General features: G+C 37.1%; 1 protein-coding gene across 1 annotated transcript in view, besides 1 other annotated feature; it reads right to left on the bottom strand.

The window, feature by feature from the left end:
* The window catches only part of SYNPO2 (synaptopodin 2), a 210,567-nt gene extending 202,337 nt beyond the window's left edge, over window positions 1-8,230 (bottom strand). Inside the window, exon 1 of the mRNA NM_001286754.2 lies at window positions 7,971-8,230. Within this exon, the coding sequence (NP_001273683.1) occupies window positions 7,971-7,982 (12 nt within the window). The 5' untranslated portion in view covers window positions 7,983-8,230. The remainder of the gene's footprint in view (window positions 1-7,970) is intronic.
* Window positions 8,238-8,307: an enhancer, noted in NCBI's record as "active region_21850". NCBI's record gives its function as "activates an Ori minimal core promoter by ATAC-STARR-seq in GM12878 lymphoblastoid cells {active_cell/tissue: GM12878}" and the evidence as "EXISTENCE:reporter gene assay evidence [ECO:0000049][PMID:35858748]".

Below are 19,846 nucleotides of genomic sequence, written 5' to 3'. Positions count from 1 at the left end.
AACTTGGAGAAGTTTGAAAGGTTGGATGAGAAAGAGTATTTTAGTGACTTACATATTAACTTTGATGAAGTAAGCACCTTAGGCTAAAATAAGGACACCCATAACCTTTGTCTCAGATGCAGTAGGCATTTTGCAATAATAAAAACTAACATTTGCTCATTCTAGATTTTTTATGTTTTATATTATCCCCAAGTCATCCAGGAAACATGGCTATTCAAAGAAAGCTTCCAGGTGTGGTAATATCATAGGGGAACCTGTCCTATGGTGAGTTGTGAGGCCATTGAAAAAGGAGGGAAGAATGGAAAGCCCTGAGACAGGTGCCCTCACACTGGCTCTGATTTACCCCTGTTGTTCTGTGTCTTTAGGCCTACATCCTGGAGTGGCAGGCCTTCATAGAGAAAGGGATTTTTAAGCTTAGACACGGGAAGGCTAGAAACACATAAAATCTGCCACCAAAATAAAAGAACAAAACAGGAATCCATCAGCGTTTCTAGGCCTGCTAGCCATATCAGAAATTGTGAGGTGATAACATGCATTAAAGTGTTGAAAGTTCCCTTTAATTTTATAATTCTCTTAGTCTGATTATTATTTTCAAGACTCCCTCACAATAAATAACAGTAAAACTTAAATGAAAAGTGTCTAATGTACTTGTTTTCAGGGCAGCAAGGAAGTGGGGAGGTGGAGAGACCCTATCTTCCCTGTTACATACCCAGATTTAGCCAAAGGCCAGCAAGCAATAGAGAAGATGTCACCATCTAGGGCCAGGCAGTGTCACCATCTTCTCTAATGAAGGAGGATTGTAAAGGAGGCTACAGCCCTAAGGCCTGTACAGCAGGGAAGAAAGGAATATAAAGAGAACCAACGTAGAATCAAGAATGGACCCTGAGAACTTAACGGCCAGAAAGCCCTGTGTTTTTCAATAACATGAAAGCAGAAAGTGCAAGTGAAGCAAGAGAAATGCAAGGTAAACAAGGCATGACTAACACTTCTTGATTCCTGCAATCTCACTGTGTACTATTTTTACCAAAATTATTTTTTGTAAAGATAGCCAAGAATCCCCTTTAAAAAGCCATTCACTTTCCTTATAATAAATAAAATACTTTAAATGTATCTAAATGGTCAAAGCTATTCAAATAAATGATACTTCTAGAAAAATCTACATGACCCTCTTAGTACGAGAGCGTTCTACTCTATTAGAAATTAAGTACAAACTTAAACTTTACAGTGAATTTCAGAGCTTTTCTTTTAACTAATTTTCATGTTATGTTAATCTGTGAAAAAACTCTAAATGTTAGTAATTTCACAGATTACTTACGGTTTGATTTTTTTAAAAAAAATTCTGTCTTGTTTCAGTGAACCATATGCTCTGTGTGGTTCTTTACTGGCAAGTATAGAAATTTTTTCATCAAAGGCTTTTCCTGACAAATGCAATCCATCTACTATTAATTTACAGTGTCTTTGCTAGCCTTTGAGGTTATCATTTATTTGTATGTTAGACAATATGTACAGCTATTACCTTTGTCCTGTCCTCAGTTTAATATGGTCATCATTTTACGAAGTTTCTCGGGGAATGGTGTTGCTGTACGTGGCTGGATATGCCCTACTACTAATAATTTCCCAAAATGAAGAATTTCCCCACATTTAGTGTTTCTTTTGCACTTCTTTGTTAAATTATTCCGTGCCTTCAATACAGAAGATAAGAGAATAAATACTTACCTGTATTTTGTGTTTTTAGTGTTTGGAAAAGGGTTACAGCATTCATGGATGATAGATCCTGTGGCAATTGCTGAGTTTAATACACTATCATCATATAAGTAGCTTGATTATATATTTATTAATAAATTATTTTGATGCCAATATTTTCTTTTAAATTATAAATATAAAAGTCTATACTGTGGGCTATACTTATAAAGAATACATTTATGAATAAAGAGCTTTTATTGATGTTTTAAAAGCAAAGTAAATTCATATTCTTTACTTAAAATACCATACAGAATGAAAAGAAAGAGAGAACGTCCATTATTTCTATTCAATTGAAGGTTCTTTGCATTTTTCTTCCTCTTACCAACAATAGAAGAAGAAACACTATTTTTAAAAATATAGGCCAGGTGTGGCTCACGCCTGTAATCCCAGCACTTTGGGACACCAAGGCAAGCAGATCGCTTGAGCCCAGGAGTTCGGGACCAGCCTGGGCAACATCAGGAGATGCCATCTACAAAAAATAAAATAATTAGCCAAGTGTGATGATATGTGCCTGTGGTCCCAGCTACTCAGGAGGCAGAGGTGGAAGGATGACTTGAGATTGAGGCTGCAGTGAGCACTTCAGCCTGGGCAACAGAGCGAGACCCTGTCTCAAAAAAAAGTCAATAAACATAAAATAAAATGAAATAAAATAAAATAAAATAGCATATATATTCGAAATAATAATCTGGAGTAATTTATGTGCATTCCACTATAAACCATGGCTTAGTGCGAAGTTTTGCTGGTAAGGAGGCCTTCATTATCCTCTGTTAGGTTTTATAATCCCCCCTAATAAATCTGTATGTATCTCAAAACTAGTATGCATAAACTCCAATGAACAAGAAGATATTGGGTTACTTACTTCAAAAAATAATTATTGAGAGCCAACAATGTATTTAACCCTATTAGATGATAACAATAACTAAAGAGATAATTCATTTGATAGGACATTTTCTGAGCACCGAATATGTTACTTGCACACAGTGCTAGGCACTTAGGATAAAGCTGAAAAAATATATATGGCTCCTACCCTCAAATGACTCGCTGACTAGCTGTGGGGCCAGGTATAAATGCAAATCACAATATACCATACAACATGGGCTAGAAGAGAAGTATAATAGATCCACTATGTTATGGTATCCCAGAAGATAAACAAAGAATTTTTCTGGGAGTTCTGATGAGAAGGCTGCTTATGAAACACTGCCAAGAGAAGAAATTATATTTGAGCTGGATTTTATAGACAGAAAAAGAAAAAGGGAAAAAGAAAGAGAAAGAGGGAGAGAGATCTGAGTGCTGCCTGCACAAGTATATATGTGTGCAAGAAATCATTAAGTTGTAAGTCTGGGGGGCTTTATGTAAGTTATATCTCTAAAGAAATAATCAATAGACAGTAAAAATGATATAGACAATAATTATTGTTATGACATCTTCACCTACTTCAATCAGTTTCTTAGTCATAAACATCTCTAATATCATGTCACTGACATTTTCCTGAAAAATATTTTATTTTACTATAGTCTAATTATTTTGTATGGCTTCACAAAGTTACTGGCAATATTTAAAGTGGCATTTTAATGGTTAATGTATTTGAAATTATTGACACCTTCAATTGATTATTCTCTTTCAATGAAACTACATTTAATATGAAAATATTCTCTCTACAGTTGTGCGATATCTACTCAGATAAAAAGTAATCCTAAATTGAGAATATTCTCAATTATGATTGCTTTGTATTGAAAAATACTAATATCTCAGTTAAAATATTTTCACAATTACTGTCTTTTTGCCTCCATTGAGAGTAATTATTTCAATAAATAATTCGTCAAGCAAATTGTCTGTGAGATTCTTTTGAATGCTTACCAAATTTAGATTCTCTTAAATTTCATTCTATTTCAGCACAGAGAATTTTTTCCAACTAAAAATAGAAGATTTATCAAAAGATTCTTTTAATGAGTCAAAATATTCCAAAGATCTACCATCAAATTTCAAAGTCAAATTTTGCCCATCACTTGAACCTTATTTAATGTGTTATCTTTTTTTTTTTTTGCTTTAGTAAAAATAAATTGGAACGTCATCCTGTTTGCAAATATTGTTGTCATTCATTGCAACTTGCTAAACACTTCACTAGCTGAATCTGGGCACTCTATTTACTGACAGTTTTGATTTTGAACACTTGCAAGTGAGTTTGATATTATCATATAACACTTAGCTCCATTTACAAAAATGTTAAGGGCTCAAGCATTTTAAATTTGATTAATAATGAGTAGTAAAGGAGAAAGTACCTACTTCTGTGCTGCATCTGAATTATTTTTTATTTCAAAATTAGGTGTATACAAATTATATAGTTCAATTACTCTGTGTGTATGTACAAAGTATTTATAAAATTTGACAACTATAACTTCAATTTCAGTTGTTAGCTCTTTCAGGATGCCATTATGCATTTTTTGATGTACCACAACCAATTATAAGCATAATTCCTCCTTTATATGTTTGTTAATTTGGTGGAATATTGTTTTTATAATGACAAGATGTTTCACTAAAATTCGTATTGATTTTATTGCTGCAGAAGCAAATAATTTTATCTTCAATGCTGAACTTTTAAAGTAAATTTACAATGGCTTTAACAATAGTATCAGCTGTTTCTTGACAGAATGAAATTAAACTAGTTTTACTTTGATTCCTTGATTCATATAGAAAAAAAATTGAACTATTTTGAATTGGCTGGTTTTCTATTTGCAGCATCTAATATGTTGCTATAAAATTCTTATCATTTAACAATTTGTGAAGTTATTCTATTAATGGAACCAATAAAATGATAGCTATTGCTTTACTTTTTATATGTTTACAAGAAAACTTGGGCTCTGAAATCAACAAATGGAAAGTCATGCTTCACAGAGTGACATGTAAATACACTTTCTGCAGCTGTACATGTTAAATCATGATCTCTGGGCAGGTACAATTATCTTAAGGTAACATTAACTTCTGAAGCAGATTCTTTGTTTTTTGTGTAATTAGCAGTTATGTTCCATTGCTGGATGGGAAATTTCAACATTTTTCTAAGTGACACTTTTATCATTAGCTTTTTGGAGAAACAGAAACTCAGTACTTAATTTTTCACTAAATATTCTTAGCTTTTGGTTCATTGCTGCCAGGAGAGTTTATTGCATTTTTTTAAAAAAGCATTGACAACAAAATAACATATGAAAGGTTTACACCATAGGATAGTCACAAAATGGCTATTGCAATAGCGTCAGACCACTCTCTGTACAAAGTATGGTATCCAGCCTCTTTCCTGCACATATTCCATGTACACCTAATCTGTAATTTCCCACATTTCCCCATGACACTGCTAATTGGCAGCCTGGTAGCCTGGCAGCTTCTTACATATTGAGTCTTGCAGCACAGGCCATGGCATAATTGGCTACAATGCCAAGACTGTAGGAGGCAATGATGTTGAATACTTCTCCCGCTACCCCTAAGACCAGAAGGATTTAACTCACCCTAGCCACTTGAGTCCAAATGTACATTGTTTTACCAGTTATGACTCTGCATACTGTCCTGAACAGGAGGCATTAATTATTCTGCAGTTAGAAAAGTTCTAAACTAGAGAGATAGGCTTATCTCTGTCTTTATATGGGTTAAGATGAGAGTTCTGTTTTCTGAACCATAGTCTCACACTTCTGGGTGAACCTAGAATAGAAATTGCAATTGCCAAGTTTAGGTCCATCAAATTCATGCCGACATTTTGTTGCAATGCTTAATACTACTTATTTAAATCAGGAGGGGGGGAAATATCCTAAATTTGATGGTATATGAAGAGAATAAACATAAGTGGGGATCATCTTGGGCAAACTGGGTCATAATGAAACACTTACAGCAGTTTAAATTCACAATGGAAATAAATTCAATTCAAATCTACAAACATCTGTTGAGAACCTACTAAGCCCCAGAACTTTTGCTATGAGCTGAAAGGAAAATACAAATAGGAATGAAGTCAACTTCCTCCTCTTATCTCTAGGTTCCTCAGGAGAATGGCATGACATTTTCTTGAAAATTAACGAAGTGATCCTCTTACATCAAAGAAAAAAACTCTTGTGTTTCTTGCCAATGATAAAACTTGAGCTTTCAAGTAAAAATATGAATTTGGAAAAGTTGTGTCTGCCACTGTGAGCTTGACAATTTCTTAATATTTAAAAGCTTTTCTGATGAAATTGATGGTAATATTAACAAAATGTAATAATGAAACATGTCAACATTTGGAGGACTTGAATAACCCAGAAAATCAATGTTTTTAAATTTAACTTTTAAGTTCAGGGGTACTTGTGTAGGTTTGTTATATAGGTAAACTTGTGTAATGGGGTTTGTTGTACAGATTATTTTGTCACTCCGGTATTAAGCCTAGTACCCATTAGTTATTTTTCCTGATTCTCTCCCTCCTCCCACCCTCCAGCCTCCAATAGGCCCCAGTGTGTGTTGTTCCCCTCTATGTGTCCATGTGTTCTCATCATTTAGCTCCCACTTATAAGAACATGTGGTATTTGGTTTTCTGTTCCTGTGTTAGTTTGCTGAGGATAATGGCCTCCAGATTCATCCATGTCCCTGCAAAAGACATGATACTGTTCTTTTTTTATGGCTGCAATAGTATTCCATGGTGTATATGTACCACATTTTCTTTATCCAATCTGTCACTGATGGGCATTTAGGTTGATTCTATGTCTTTGCTATTGCGAATACTGCTGTAATGAACATACGTGTGCGTGTTTCTTTATGATAGAATGATTTATATTCCTTTGTATATATACTCAGTAATGAGATTGCTGGGTCAAGTGGTATTTCTGTCTTTAGGTCTTTGAGGAATCACCACACTGTCTTCCACAATGGTTGAACTAATTTACACTCCCACAGACAATGTATAAACGTTCCTTTTTCTCCACAATCTCTCCAGGATCTGTTATTTTTTCTCTTTAACAACAGCCATTCTGACTAGTGTGAGATGGCAGCTCATTGTGGTTTTGATTTGCATTTCCCTAATGGTCCGTGATATTGAGCTTTTTTTATACGGCAAATCAATATTTTCTAAGTGACAAATGTGTGATGTTGCAAAATCATTCAAATTCACCAAATTGTATGATAGACCAATGAATTTTAATATAACAGTTAGAAAACTTTCTTGCTATGGTTTCAGATTCCACATTGCAATTAACCTCTAGGGAAAAAAAAAACTCTTGCTGAGTTTTGGTGTGGTATCAAAGAATATCCACAGTTTTCTGAAAAGACTATTAAAATATGCCCTTTCCCCCACCAACTACATCCCTGTATGAGAGTGGATTTTTTTTCCATACTTCCACCAAAATGGTACATCACAATAGATTGAATATAGAGGTGGTTATGATAATCCAGCTGTGTTCTATTAAGCAAGACATTAAAGAGATTTGAAAAAATGTAAAATAATGCCACTATTCTCACTACATTTTTCTGTTTTAAAAAATACAGTATTTTTAATCAAAATGTTACTTACATTGACATGCAATGACATTATTGCTATTTTAAATAAGTTAATAAATATTGTAACAATGAGTTTTAATTGTTTTATTCCATAATATCGATAGCTATATCTTATATAAGCAAAAGCACAAAACTCTTTGGGATCCTCAATCTTCGTTTTTGTTTTTTGTTTTTTTTTGAGATGGAGTTTTGCTCTTGTTGCCCAGGCTGGAGTGCAATGGTGCAATCTCGGCTCACCGCAACCTCTGCCTCCCAGGTTCAAGCGATTCTCCTGCCTCAGCCTCCCAAGTAGCTGGGATTATAGGCATGCACCACCACGCCAGGCTAATTTTGTATTTTTAGTAGAGACGGGGTTTCTCCGTGTTGGTCAGACTGGTCAATCCTCAATCATTTTTAAGAATGTCAAGGGTTCCTGAGACCAAAAAGTTGTTGAAAGACTGTCTTAAATAATGTAATTGTATTCAATTTCATGATGCTGGGGTTACTAGGACAATGTGAGGAAGAAAGATCGTGATAACAGTCAGGAAAGTTCTGACGAAAGACCTGGTATTCCACTAAGACTCTGAAAAGTGAGTAGGATTTTAAAACTCCTTTTGAAAAGATGAAAGGTATGAGTAAAAGCTGAGAAACAGTGAAGCACCTGATATTCGCAGGCAATAATGAGTAATGAGTTCAGGTGATTGAAATATAAAGAGGACACCATTCATCTCTGCTTCTCTTCCTACCTGTGTAACCATTCCTCTTGTCTCATCTCTTTTGTGGGAGGCTTTTCTTCCTTTCTCATTCCTCAAATATTGATGCTTCCTGCAGTTCTGTCCTTGGATCTCTCTTCTCACTCTATATGACAGTCTCCCTCACCAATCTGATCCATCCTCAAGATTGGAGCTTCGCTTCCGAGTTGCCGAATTCAGATCTTTACTTCACCTTCTCTCCTGAGCTCCAGAGCAACATGTTCTGAATATTTTGAAGGCAACAAATTGAAAGTGAAACAAACGTTTTCCTGCAAAGCACTCTCTTCCTGTATCCTCTTTCTTGGCCCCTCCCCACCCAGCACATCACCTTAGTTTCCATTCTCACCTTCCTCCACCTCATACATTCAATTGGATGGCCCTCTATTAACACTGTTCCTTGTTTTTTTTTCTATATTATCGTGCTGTTTTCTTAGTTCTTTTTGCCCTAGTCTCACAAGCTTCCATTCCATCCTCTACATTGCTGCCAAAACCAATAGTACAAAAGCAACAGATCATGCTGTTTTCCTGTTTTGAAACCTTTTGATGCCTCCCTCCAGGATAAATCACTAACACCTCAATGGTACTTAAACTGCCATTCATTATCTGGCCCTTGATTACATCTTCATACTGTTGCTTGGTGGGGCCCCTCCTCAGCCATGACAAACATGTTCCTTGCTCCTGCCATATCAAAAAGCTTGCAGTTCCCCCTAGATCTCCAGGTTGCTTTACATTTCTATGCTCTTGTTTAGGTGCTTTCTCTTCCAGGAATGCCCTTTCCTGCTCTACCAACAAAGAATAACAATCACTTTCCGGATTGTTCTCAAGATGTTTTCTCTAAGAACCCATCTCTTCACTTTGGGTTAAACAGTATATTTAACTTATTTTAATACAAACATCTTGAAAATGATTACAAAATGTCCTCAATTTAGGAAGATTCCACAAAAGTGATACAGTTAATAAAAATCATACTTTGAATTTTGAATTTTGATTTTTTCCCAGAGTGCGATACACAGTGTAATGCTACTCTCTTGCAGGATGTTGGGCAGTGGCAGTAAGTTGCAGCTCCCAGTTAGCCAAATGATCTTGAGGTTAAACACCCTGTAATATACAGTGTACTGTGCTGCTAGATGATTTTGCCCAACTTTAGGCTAATACAAGTGTTCTGAGCACATTTAAGGTAAATTAGGCTAAGCTATGTTTGATAGATTAGTTGTCTTAAATGCATTTTTGACTTATGATATTTTCAACTTACAATGGATTTATCATGACATAGCCCCATCTTAAGTCAAGGAGTGCCTGTATTTGCATTTGAAATCTATTTCTAATACTATTTTAATCCACTTCTCCTCTCTACACCCAGAGAAGATGAATTCTCCTTCCAAGCACAAAATACTACGGTATGAGGCATTTTATGTAGACTCACATTATGTTAAATAAAGAGCAAAGAAAACCCAAATGTCTCACAGAAAGTACCAAATTTGGTATTTCTTCTTACATTCCAACATATAACCTGGCAAACAAAGAGTTAGGGTTTATAAAACACAAGTCCAGTATACAAAGCATGTATTATGCCCTTTAAAAACTTGTTTCACAAATTATTTAATATTGCTAGAATTCCTTGAATATTATGCAAATTTAGTTGTTTTTTTTTTTTTAAGAGATTTGACATTTCTTTAACAGGGATGTTGTTTTGTGAGGTTTCTTTCCCCAGAGCCAACTTTCTAGTCTTTTATTTTAACATAGCTGGTCATTCACAGTTCTTTTGAAAAAGGATTAAAATTCTTAAGACCAACATCATGGCCCTATTTGCCATCCCCTGAATTCAAGTGATATCAGTGTTAGTTACAGATAAGCCTGCCAGAGACTTACTTCATGATTGGCTCAAATCCCCATAATCAGTGAGCCCTTGCAGTTTTCAGTGAAAAGTATAGAAACTTGGAAGTGTGTTTTATGAAAAGGGTGTTTTAGAAAAAATGGGATATTCTTAGTTTATAAAGCACCTTCAATTAATTTATCTACACATGACATTGCATATGAACTCGTAGTGATCTAAACTTCATTAGGTTTTCTAATTCTAGTACTAAAAATAATCTATAAGAAGAATTTTGTCAAATAAAAGATTTATAATAAGTGATATAAGCAAGGAGGTTGTTCTCATACTTAAATCCTCATTGTGCTCTGTTTTCCTGGTCTTAAAGGCAGAATGCTGGCACAATATTCTTAGTAAGGTGCCTAGAGATCACATCAATAGGTGTTGCCTAAACACAGAGCCAGAGATAACTTGTTCAAGGCAAATTTGGGCCACGTACAGTGGTTCACGCCTGTAATCCCAACACTCCGGGAGACAGTGGTGGGAGATCACTTGAGCCCAGGAGTTTGAGACAAGCCTGGGTAACATGGCGAGACCCCAGCTCTACAGAAAATTTTTAAAAATTAGCTGGGCGTGGTGTTGCGCACCTGTGGTCCCAGCTACTTGGGAGGCTGAGGTGTGAGGACTGCTTGAGCCCAGGTGGTAGAGGCTGCAGTAAGCCGTGTTCATGCCACTGTACTCCAGCCTGGGCAACACAGCAAGACCCTGTCTCAAAAAAAAAAAAAAAGACAAATTTGGACAGAGATGTATATAAATTACTGAGGAGATGCAGAATATTCATAGTTTTTATAGATTTTATCAATAGGATATTATCTTACTTTTAGAAATGATGAATGATACTTCTATATATAAAGACTCCATGTCTATCCATTCATCCTAAGAGCAGAAACAATAATCACAAAGGCAGGGGAGGCATCATTTATTTGCTACTGGGAGGATTCAGTGACATTGGATTTCTAGTAAGCTTGTTATGGTCATGATGCTTTTCAGTAACTTGTAAGCACTATATTCATGAAAGCAGGGAGCTGATTTTTTTAAAAGGACTAGTAGAGGAAGACAAGAAATAAGAAAACAAGACAGAAATTACAGAAGAAAGAAAGAGATGTGAAAATCATCTGAGAAATTAGTCAACATCTGTGGAGACTATATAGGAATATAAAAGTTAGGGTCCTTAATATTAAGAATAAAAAATATTAAGACTTGCTGAAGGCTGGATGTGGTGGTTCATGCCTGTAATTCCAGCATTTTGGGAGACTGAGGCAGGAGGATTATTTGAGCCCAGGAGTTTGAGACCAGCCTGGGCAACATAGTGAGACCCCCATCTCCACAAAAAAAAAAAAAAAAAAAAAATTAGCCAGGCAAGGTGGTGGGCACCTGTGGTCCCATCTGCTTGGGAGACTGAGGTAAGAGGACAGCTTGAGCCTGGGAGTTTGAAGCTACAGTGAGCCATGATCTCCCCACTGCACTCCAGCCTGGGTAATAGAGTGAAACCTGTCTCAAAAAACAAACAAAAAAACAAACTTATTGAAGCAAAGTTTTATGTAGAAGTGATGAGATCTCTGATAAACTAGAATTTTTCCACTTATTTTTCTGTTTAAAATATTGTTTTATTGTAAGCTGTATGGTCAGTTTAGTGGGAGTAACAAATGATTTGAAAGTATGGTAGGGAGAGTAGAGGAAAAGGTATTAGTACTATATTTAAATGGGAAAGATAGCTCTCAGCCTCAGGAACAGGAGGAAGGAGGCTGTCTCGCCTCTCTGAAGGTGTAAATGGTAAAATCATCCTATCTAAGGAGAACAGTTTGGTTTTCCAACTTCTACTCCCCACTCAGAGACACTTTGTTCCTACTTTATGCAAAGATGAGATGTTAAAGCTGAAATCTGGAGGCAGAAGAACTGGCTTTTATAGTTAAAGCATCAGGCTACAAAAGCACTTTTGCACCTTCCTTTGGATTACTTGGAAACAGTGGATCCCAGCCACAGAAAGAAGGCATAGAGCCTAGAAAGGCAGAAGCTGAGAGCCAAATCCTCAGGTTATCAAGGACTGTACAGTGTTGGGTAAAGCAAGCCATAAATGGAAGACTTTCCCTTCCTTTCTTCCCTTCTCTCCCCTCCCCTCCCTGAGTTGTGTCTGTGTGTGTCCGTGTGTGTGGGTGGAGGTGGGGGCATTTTAATATATATATAAGTGTGTGTGTGTGTGTGTGTGTGTGTGTGTGTATATACTTTTTTAAGAAGCTTATTCTGTTTTTTAAAGTTGGTTTCAAAGTATCATCTTAACATGCAGTTATAATTTGAAATTAAACTCTTAAAAGAGGCTTTTGAATGAAAGTAAAGTACGGAAAATGTGGATAAAGTTTGGAATCATAAAAAGCCACTGGAGTGCAAATTGAGATTTAGGTTCTAGTCCCAGCTCTTCCAAAATTCATGGCACTATGAGTCTGACTATCTGAATGAAAGTATTGGGCTAGAATGATGTTTGAGGCTACAGCTCTGACACTTAATTATCCTGTGAATTCTAGGTGATGTTAAGTTGACAGCCACTCTTGCATGGCACATTAGCTCCAGGTAAAGAGGCACACCTAAAAGAGTAAGAGTAGGGAGGGGCAAAATCAGCTTCTGACATATTGAAATTGCTCCCCTCAACAAATGAGTAGCTTCCTTCATAACAGAGGAACAAAAGAGATCACAGTAATAGCAACATGTAGTATTTCTCACAAGTAAATAGAGCTAAAAGTAGCAAAGCCAAGGGTACATACATAAGTTCACTAAAAGACAAGAACCAGCATGTATGCTGGGCTGTCCTCTTCACTAGAATTTCCAGATAAAATAGATGATGCAAATAAAATTTAGAAATTTAATGCAGTTGCAATATGGAAATAAATCCAGTGTGAAGCCAACACTCTCATTGGACTCTATTGCACTCTCTATTGCACTCTCATTGCAATAGTTTAGGGATCAAGGGTTCAACAGATCTGGTTGGGTATACTTGGCTCAGCCACTTGCCAGCAATATGTACTTGAGTAAGTGAATTATGGGTTAATTGTAGAAAATTTGGAAAATACAGAAAAAAAATCAATGAAGTTTTAAAAGCCTTAATGCAAGGAATTCTGGAAAATGTAGTTTTAGCTTTCTACTCTCTACTAAAGGAAAGCAAGCAAGCCAGAACAGCTGTTTCTGTATTTGCCATGCCCACTACTTACACTAGTCAGGATTCTCCTGGGAACAAAAGTGCAGATGGCAGATTAATGTTTCAGCTCAGTAGTCAGTTAGAGAGGGAATTCAACTTTCTTCTACCTTTTTGTTCTATTCAGGCTCTCAACTGATTGGATGAGGCCCACCCACATTGGGGAAGGATACCTACTTTACTCATTCCATCAATTCAAATGCTATTCTCTTCCAAAAACAATCAAAAACAAACCCAGAAATTGTGTTTAATCAGATATCATGGCACAGTAGGGCTGATACATTAAAATATTATTCTAAATGTATATGCTAAAGTCATTTCCTTTAAAAGCACAATCAGAGAGAAATGTTCAACAGCAAGTTTATTAATCAATATTATTTTGGAGTTTCTTGCAGGTGCAATAAGAAAAAAAATGCAATGCTGATGAGGTTGCTGTATATCTAGAAAACCCCAAAATTGCAATTTTAAAGTAATAAAATAAGAAAGATAATTTGATAATTTGATCACTCATATTTATTTAGAAATTTCTTTACTGGTAATAAACACTAGAAATAGAAATGGAAAAAAGCAGATTCACATAAAACATAATAGTAAAAAAATAGGTTAAAAAAGACAGGACCTATACCTTAAAAAACAAAAACACCTAACTTATTGAAGGGCCCAAAGGCAAAAAAAACAAAAAACAACAACAAAAAAAAAACCAGGTTATGTTCTGGGTCTAGAAATCTTAATATCACAAATACATCAAGCCTCTATAAAAAATCATAAATTCAATAAAAAAAGTTAACAACTTTATTGAAATCTACTAAAATACAATTAACTGTACATATTTAAAATATACAATTTGATACATTTTGATATATGTATATATACATATACACACCTGTAAAACCAATCTAGATAATGAACATATCCATCACCCCAAAGTATCCCCTTCTTCTTTATAGTGCCCCTCACCCACCTCTCTCTGCCCTCTCCTCAGTTCCATGTTCCATGCAACTACTGATCTACCTTATGTCACTATAGATCAGTTTGCATTTTCTTGAAATTTATGTAAATAAAATCATATATTCTTTGTATGTCTGGCTTCTTTCATTCAACATTATTGTGAGATTTATTTATTTGCTGCATGTACCAGTAGTTCATTTCTTTTCGTTGCTGAATATTCCTTTGTCAGGATATACCACAATTTGTTTATTCACCTGTTCATAGACATTAGGGTTAATTTCAGTTTTTGGTTATTATAAATAAAGCTATTGTAACCATTTGTATATGAATCTACTTATGAACATAAACTTTTTTTTTTTTAGATGGAGTCTCACTCACTCTGTTGCCTAGGCAAGAGTGCAATGTGCAATCTCGGCTCACTGCAACCTCCACCTCTTGGATTCAAGTGATTCTCCTGCCTCAGCCTCCTGAGTAGCTGGGATTACAGGTGTGCACCACCACGGCTAGCTAATTTTTGTATTTTTAGTAGAGACGAGGTTTCACCACATTGGCCAGGCTGGTCTCGAACTTCTGACCTCAGGTGATCCGCCCACCTCGGCCTCCCAAAGTGCTAGGATTACAGGCATGAGCCCCCACGCTTGGCCTATTTATGGACATATGCTTTTGATCCTCTTGGAACTTAGAAGTATCCAGGAAAAAAGGAGAAAGTCTTTGTGATGTGATCTTGATTTTAGAGTTCTAGATTTTTCATTTAGGTCTGTACTTTATTTTGAATTAATTCTGTTATATGGTGCAAGGTAGGGATTGAGATTCTTTTTTTTTTTTTTTGCCTGTGTATACCTAATTGTTCCAGCACAATTTGTTAAAGAGACAAGAAAAGTCTGTTTATACCTGTGCCAAAAATCAATTTATATATATGTGGATCTATTTCTATAATGCTAATCTGTTTTCTTAATATTTTTATCTTGATGGCAATACTATATTGATTTGACTTTCATAGCTTTTCTTTATAGTAGTCACCAGAACAAATGTTAACTCTTCTCTTGCATTAATTGAGAAAAATTTCAACCTGGAAACAAATCTTGAAAACTGAAATCTAAAAAGTGTGTTCTCAGAAGTCAATATGATACTATCTGCTAGTGATATATATATATACGATGGGACAAGGTCCTGTCTGTTCACTGAATTCAGTCCCCACTTCAGGGTGACACAGTGGTTTCTGAAGGTTCTCCAGGGACTGAATTGTGGCTATTTCTGAGTGCAATCCTCAGATTTGTCCACTCTAGCCAGATCTTGCCACCATGCTCTGCCATCTGCATCTCCTCCACTCCTCAGGTCTAAAACGAGAGAGAACCCTGCCCCTCGGGATCAAAGAGTTGCTCTTGATTCTTGTTAGTGGTGATGGAACTCAGAACTGCCCCAGTGGGGCTGAAGGGCGCTGACACATGGGGCTGGCCTAGAAATGGGCTCCCAGCCTCACTGCTGCCGCAAACACAAGCACTGGCTTGTGACCTGTCTTCCTGTGGCTGAGATTAACTCTTGAGATGTAACTCTCTCAAGTGGCACAGTTGCAGACTTCTCAGTATCTCTCAGTCTAGACTCAACGTTTAGACCTTGGAGGAAGAGGAAGGGGAGCCTCTCCTTTCTCAATCCGAAAAGTCACCTTCATTCTTGGCCAGTGAAACAGTATCCATTGTGATTAACAATGGGAACATCAGCTCTTTTCAAAAGAAAACTCCACACTTAAACATCGGGGTGTGTTTTTACTGAACAACTCCATTAAAACAATAAAGTCACCAAACAGTCTATGTTTTCCCCTCTTTGTGGCTAATTCAGTTTTATCCATAGTCCTCTTCTTACTCTAGTAGATTATGATGTGTTATTGGATTGTTTCTTGTGGTAGATGCTCTCTGACTGGTACAATTTACAAGTATCTCTCTTAATTTTTAAAATATATTAATTTTTAAAATATGCTAATTTGCTGTAAAAGATTCTTCCCCCACCCCAAGTCAGTGGCTCAAACTCCATAGAGTTTCTTTTTCTCTCATATACCAGCTCAGAGGTAGACACAGGGTTCAAGAGGGGTAGGTGGCCCTGGTTATGAAGACAACCAGAGACCAGGGTTCATTATTTCTTGCCATCAACCCTAGAGCATTATCCTCACCTGGAGGGTTAATTTGGCTTTACTACTACCATGTCTTCATTCTAGCTTGCAGAAAATGAAAGACTCAGGAAGCGACTTTTAAAGATGAGACAAATAAGTTGCACATATTATGTCCACTGTGCTCTGTGAGCCATAAAGCTACAACCAGCTACAGGGGAGGCCGGACATCCACACACCAGCCACACACTCAGAATAATGGATATTCCAGAAAAATGTCCAGTCTCTGCCACATATACAATATTCCAAAATCCAAATTTCTGATATTTCTTATTTATGCAACAATACAGTATTGCATTATTTTCTAGGTAATCACATAAGTAGATTTGAGGAAAAAAATCGAAGGAACATCATTTCTTCCTACTAATGATCACATATTCAGGCACTGACTTCAATTAGATTGTTAGTACGGTTTTTACCTCTTCCTGTTATTATGATGAGTCAGGGGCTTTTAATTTCTCAGTTCAATACTACTAGCTTACTTGTCTCCTTAGATCACTCAAGAAAATCAGTGCAATGAAAACATTGAATCACATCTTACTCACTTCATCAATTGGAAAATCTTTCAAGTCACCAGGAATGTGGTGGGAGTGAGGGGTGAGTATGAATACAGAACTGTGGTCGTGCAGCAGTCAGAATTCAATTTTCTACCTGCTTTTATAGTGCAGGAGGCTCCAAAACACTTGCTGTTCTCAAATCTTGGCCATGACCAAGAAAACCTGTGTGAAAGCAAACGATTACAGAATACATTTCTGAGGCCTGAAATCTCACTGCGACTGTAAAAATAAATATTGTTCTGAACACCTGCCTCCCATATCAGTAAAAAAAATTGGAAAGTGAGTCAAATCATGTCATTCCTCAGTTCAAAACCTGTAAGGACTCCTTTTTCATTCAAATTAAAAACCAAACTTTAAAATAGCCTAAGGATCCTATACTATCTGCCTACCCCCTAACCTCTAGGCCCTCCTCTCCTACAACCTTCCCCTCATTTCCTCTGCTCCAGACTCTGTGGCATCCTTCTACTCCTGAAACATGCCAGACACCTACTTCCTGACATAGGAACTTTTGGGGGCTCTCTCTTCTGCCTGAATTCCCTTCCCCGCCCCAGATGATCTGCATTGCTAACTCCTTTACCTCCTCCAAAGCTTTGTTCAAATCTCACCTTCTCCATGAGGCTGTCAGGCCAGGTCAGATGAAAAGCAGACAACAACATGGAATGAGATACGTAAGAGATTTATTGAGAGGAACACCTATAAGAACTGATGAGCTAGGAAGCAAGAGGAGGAGAGAGAGACTTCTGGTGCGTGCAGATCTGACACCTGTGAAAAAGAGAGGGCAGGAAGGAGGATGAGGTAGGATGAACCTCAGATTGCAGTGCAGCTCTGAGAAAGTCTTGGCCAGGGCAAAGAGAACCCCAGAGAAAAGATATCCCTCTAGAGGTGTCCCATGTTAGGAAAAATGCTGACTTCATTAACCCCACCAAGTGCAGTCTTTGGCTAGGGGCTGCTGAGAGAGTGGCTTTGGGCTAAGTGCCTTAGCAGCTCCAAAGGGGTAGAAGCTGAAGGTTGTCAGCCACTTATATTCCTCAGAGCAGGTTATATTGAAAGGAGAGCTGAGTGGCACTACTTCCTGGCCCCAAGAGCCCTGCCTACCTACCCCGTATAATACTGCTGATCACCAGCTCAGCATTCCCAGTGCTTTTTACCCTGGTCTACTTTTACTTTGTTCCATAACCCTTTTTACTCCATGACAATGAGAGAAATATAATATTCCTAATTTACAGTGAGTAAACCAAGGTTTAGTAAACTTAGAACATGCATCTATTCTAGGTTCCCAGGGGTTTCATCCTTTGACTTTACTCATATGGCTTCAACTGTCACTTACATGTTGTTAATAATGATTGGGATGATGATGCTACAATGGTAACGTTATTGATCAGTTGTTATGTGCCAAACATTGTGCTGAGTGATTTACTTGTATTATCTCATTTAATCCCCACAACGACCTTTGAGATTATTATTATTATTCCTTCAATTTTTAAAGATAAAAATACTGAGGTTTAGGGAGGGTACACACAGCTTATAAAGGACAGAACCAGAAGTCATGACTTGGTCTGACTGCAGAGCCTGATTGATCTCTTGCCTGCCAGATTGATTTTTAAATTTTCATTGCTGGCTGCCTTATACTACCTCCAGTTCAGATTTGTCTCCTAGCTGCAGACACACGTATCTCACAGGTGACTGGACACTTCCACGTAGATGTCCCACAGATAGCTCAAAATGAACTTCTCCAAAACTGAACCCATCCCCTCCCCATATCGGCTCTCGTTTTTGTTTCCCTCACCCCTTATATAGCTCTACCATTCATCCACTAATTCTCACAGATCAAAAATCTGAGTGTTTGTCTGTATTCTGCCTCACTTTCCTGATTTCTGTACCCAGTCCCATTGATACGCCTTCTAAACCTCTTTCCCACCTGTCTGTCCTCTCCACCCACATCTCCACTGCCTTTGCTTAGGCCACCATATTCTCATCTGGATTATTGCTGACAGTGTCCTAACTCTTCTTTACCCCACCAGTCTTGCCTTTTCCTCTCTTCCACTCTTTCACTAACTCCAGACTGATCTTTCTGGAAAGAAAAAAACAATCCACTGTGTCATTCCCATGCTTAAATTGTTCCATTGCCTTTCCAGTGCCTTTGAGGGATCCATGAGCTACCCTAGCCTACCTGCCTAATCTCGTTTGCTTTAGAAACCCATGTCCAAGCTGTACAGGACTTATAGCCCCTCTGAATGCCCTATGTTCCTCATCTTCCTCAACTCATTCATGCTATTCCCTGCTGCCCTTCAGCCTTTTTTTTGGCCTTATTACTGTCCTCAGGTCCTCAGCTCAGGTGCCACCTCCACCAGGGAGATGTCACTCACTTTCCAAATCTGGGTTAAGTGTCCCTTCTTACATGTTCTCATGGCAACCTGTGTCTCTTCATGGAATGAAAATGAACTATATTGTAATTGCACATCCTGCCAGACCAGGGGGCACCAAACTTTTTTCTGTAAACGGCCAGATAGTATATATTTTAGGTTTTACAGGCCTTATGGTCTCTGTCACAACTACTTAACTCTACCTTTATAGTACAAAAACAACCACAGAATATATGATAATAGAAAAGCATGGCTGTGTTCCAAGAGAACTTATTTATGTCCACTGAAATTTGAATTTCACATAATTTTCATGTGTCACAAAATATTAAAAAAAATTTCAACCATGTAAAACTGTAAATGCCATTCTTAGCTCGAAGGCTGTACAAAAACAGGTGGGTAGGCCAAATATAGCATATCAGCTGCCACTGGCTGATCCTTGCACTATTCCATGAGCTTCTCACAGCCAGGGCAGTGTCTCATCTGACTTTGTATTCAAGTTCTTAGTACAGTATCCAGTTTATAGTAGGTGTTTAATAAACGTTTGTTGAATAAGTAAAACTTGCACAGCTAGTAGTAAGTGACAGTGTCAGGATTCAAACCTGAGTCAATCTGAGTTAGCAGTGTGATGTCCCACTGTCCATTTTGTGATTGAAGCTGTATGTGATGTAGTATACTTACAGCATGATATTTGAGATATCAAAAAAGTAATTCTAGAAGCACCTTGGGTATTACTTGAACTCTATTATTACTGTTATTAGTTGCTACTCAGCCTACCCTACCATGTACC

The sequence above is a fragment of the Homo sapiens genome, chromosome 4 (genome assembly GCF_000001405.40).
Source record: "Homo sapiens chromosome 4, GRCh38.p14 Primary Assembly".
In the NCBI taxonomy this organism is placed as follows: Eukaryota; Metazoa; Chordata; class Mammalia; order Primates; family Hominidae; genus Homo; species Homo sapiens.
The sequence above is the reverse complement of the archived record's forward strand: the minus strand, read 5'-3'. Positions and strand labels throughout refer to the sequence as shown.